Source organism: Homo sapiens, chromosome 8 (assembly GCF_000001405.40).
Source record: "Homo sapiens chromosome 8, GRCh38.p14 Primary Assembly".
NCBI classification, from domain to species: Eukaryota; Metazoa; Chordata; class Mammalia; order Primates; family Hominidae; genus Homo; species Homo sapiens.
Window position 1 is genome coordinate 26,487,160 of NC_000008.11, and position 3,025 is coordinate 26,490,184.

General features: G+C 46.9%; 1 annotated feature.

Moving 5' to 3' along the window:
• Positions 1,428-1,951: an enhancer, noted in NCBI's record as "H3K4me1 hESC enhancer chr8:26346103-26346626 (GRCh37/hg19 assembly coordinates)". NCBI's record gives its function as "activates a minimal SCP1, AML or CMV promoter by ChIP-STARR-seq in naive H9 embryonic stem cells {active_cell/tissue: H9 hESC(naive)}" and the evidence as "EXISTENCE:reporter gene assay evidence [ECO:0000049][PMID:30033119]".

The following is a 3,025-nucleotide window of genomic DNA, read 5'->3' on the forward strand; positions in this document are numbered from 1 at the left end:
CATCTGGCCATTCCCAAATTATAACAGGTTCTCAGTCATAAAACAACAGGTACCATCTTGGGATAATTTATTAGAAAGGGAATTGAGTATGGGAAAATGGGGAGCTTGCTGACTCTCTAGGAGGGCTGGAGAACCAGGTTCAGAGGCTGTACATCCAGAAACAAATCATGCCACAGTCAGGGGGACTCCTGGGCTCAGACGTGATTTCCTTCTTTTTAAAGGCTGGATCATAGTCCTTTGTGTATATACAATGAATTTTCTTCATTCATTCATCCATCTGTGGACATTTAGGTTGATTCCATAACTTGGCTATTGTGAATAGTGCTGCAATAAACATGAGAGTGCAGATATGTCTTTGACATACCGATTTTATTTCCTTTGGATAAATACCCAGAAGTGGGATTGCTGGATCTTATGGAAGTTATATTTTTAATCTTTTGGAGAATCTCCATACTGTTTTCCCTAGTGTCTGTCCTAATTTATATTTTCACCAGCAGTGTGTAAACATTCCCTTTTCTCTACATCCTTGCCAACACTTGTTATTACTTTTCTTTTTGATAATGGCTATCCTAACAGGTGTGAGGTAGTATCTCATTATAATTTTGATTTGCATCTCCCTGATGATTAGTGATGTTGAGCATTTAAAAAATACATCTGTTGGCCATTTGCATATCTTCTTTTGAAAAATATCTATTCCATTCCTCTGGCCATTTTTTATCTTCTTTTTTTGAGACAGGGTCTTGCTATCACCCAGGATAGAGTGTAGTGTTGTGATCCTAGCTCACTGCAGCTTTGACCTCCCAGGCTCAGGCAATCTTCCTAGCTCAGCCTCCCACGTATCTGAGATCGCAGGTGCATGCCACCACACCTGGCTAATTAAAAAAAATTTTTTGAGATGGCGTCTTGCTATGTTGCCTAGGTTGGTCTTAAACTGCTGGGCTCAAGCGATCTTCCCGCCTCAGCCTCCCCAAGTGCTGAATTTACAGGTGTGAGCCACTGTGCCCAGCCCTTCTGTCCATTTTTAATGGGGTTATTGCTTTATTGCTGTTGAGTTGTTTGAGTTCCTTATCTATTTTGGAAATTAAGCCTGGACCAGACCCTCTCAAGGAGGGTCTAAGCAGTGCCTTCCCATGCCTGCTGTGCTAGCTTTGGTCCCAAGCAAAGGGGAACACTCCCTCAAGAATGCAGAATCTCTGCATGAGATTCTACATCCATCCTAGGCAGGAGTGCACACGTAGACAAGGGCATCTTGATAGTAGCTGCACAAATCCATATTGCGCGTTGGCTTGTATGATTTCTCTTATTCTGTGTGTGTTGGTTCCACTTCCCCAAAGAGCTTGTTAGCTCTCCAAAGCTACAGATTATGCTGAACTTTAGCAAACCCACAGAACCTAGCACAGGGCCGAGCACATAGTAACAGCCTCGGGAATGCTGAGCACTGCATCTGAAGGCTCCATGAGCACAGACCATCCCTTAAGCCAGGGGCCCACTCTCAGGGCGAATTTCCAACAGATGAGTGCTTTCCTCCCTGCCCCCATCTCTGATCATTCATTGTTCTTGTCACAGATTGAAGAGGAAAGCAAACAGCACTTAACAAAACCTGCAGCCCCGCTCTTGACACCTCCCGCGCAGAAAAGCGTTTGACAACTGGTTCCCATGGCAACAGTCTTTCTTTGAAAGAATGTCTTGTTTGGTGCACCAGACCCCCACCTCTCTCTTCTTGGGAGTAATGGCCAGTGTTGACAATGAGACAGATGCGACAAGCAGAGAACATCCGAGAGGAAGCCAGCGGGCGGGCAGGGGGCTCTCCTTGGCTCAAGGGTGGGGACAGCACTCTAGAGCCCTCTCCTCAGGGGCACGCTGGTGCTCACCAAGGGGTTAAAATACACCAGAAAGAGGTCTGAGAAAAACTGACGGCTGCGTCAACAGGCGCTATTTAGAGCAACGCAGTAGCACAGAGTGCGCTAATTTTGGAAAAGGGCCCTTTTTGCACATTCTGAGCGGCAGGGCCTGCCCTGGAGGCTGCCGGCTTCCTTCTCTTGTTTGGTGTCAGCTGTGACACATGGGCAGAGTTTTTCCCTCAGACAGGAGTGGACCTTGTCCCTTGCCTCTCATCCTTGTCCCCACTGTGGTAAGCAGTGGGAGTCCCAGGCTTGACTTCTGCTATGAGCAGAACTGTGCTCCTCAAATTTCTTTTCGTTTTCTTTTTTTTTTTTTAGACGGAGTCTCGCTCTGTTGCCCAGGCTGGAGTGCAGTGGCGCGATCTTGGCTCACTACAACCTCCATCTCCGGGGTTCAAGTGATTCTCCCTCCTCAGTCTCCCAAGTAGCTGGGACTACAGGCGCCTGCCATCACACCCGGCTAATTTTTTGTATTTTTAGTACAGACAGTGTTTCACAATGTTTGCCAGGTTGGCCTCAAACTCCTGACCTCAAGTGATCTGCCTGCCTCGGCCTCCCAAAGTGCTGGGATTACAGGCGTGAGCCACCACGTCTGGCCTGTGCTCCTCAAGTTTCTGTGTTGAAGTCCTAAACCCCAGTCTCTCAGAATGGGACTGTATTTGGAGAAAAAGGCCTTTAAAGAGATAATTATGTTAAAATAAGGTACTTAAGGTAGGCCCTACTCCAATCTGATTAGTGTCTTTATAAGAAGAGCAGATGAAGACACACAGAAAGACGCCAGAGGTGCACACGCTCAGAGGAAAGAACCTGTGAAGACACAGCAAGGCGGGGACTGTCTCAGTCTGTCCAGGCTGCTTTAACAAAATAGCATGAACTGGGTAATATTATGCCTGTAATCCCAGCACTTTGGGAGGCTGAGGCAGGCAGATCACTTGAGGTCAGGAGTTTAAGACCAGCCTGGCCAACATGGTGAAACCCTGTCTCTACTAAAAATATACTATAAACAGCAGAAATGTATTTCTCGGGGTCCTAGAGGCTGGGAAGTCAAGATCAAGGTGCTGGCAGACTCAGTGTCTGGTGAGGCCCTGCTTTCTGGTTCATAGACAGAGCTTTCTTGCTGTCCT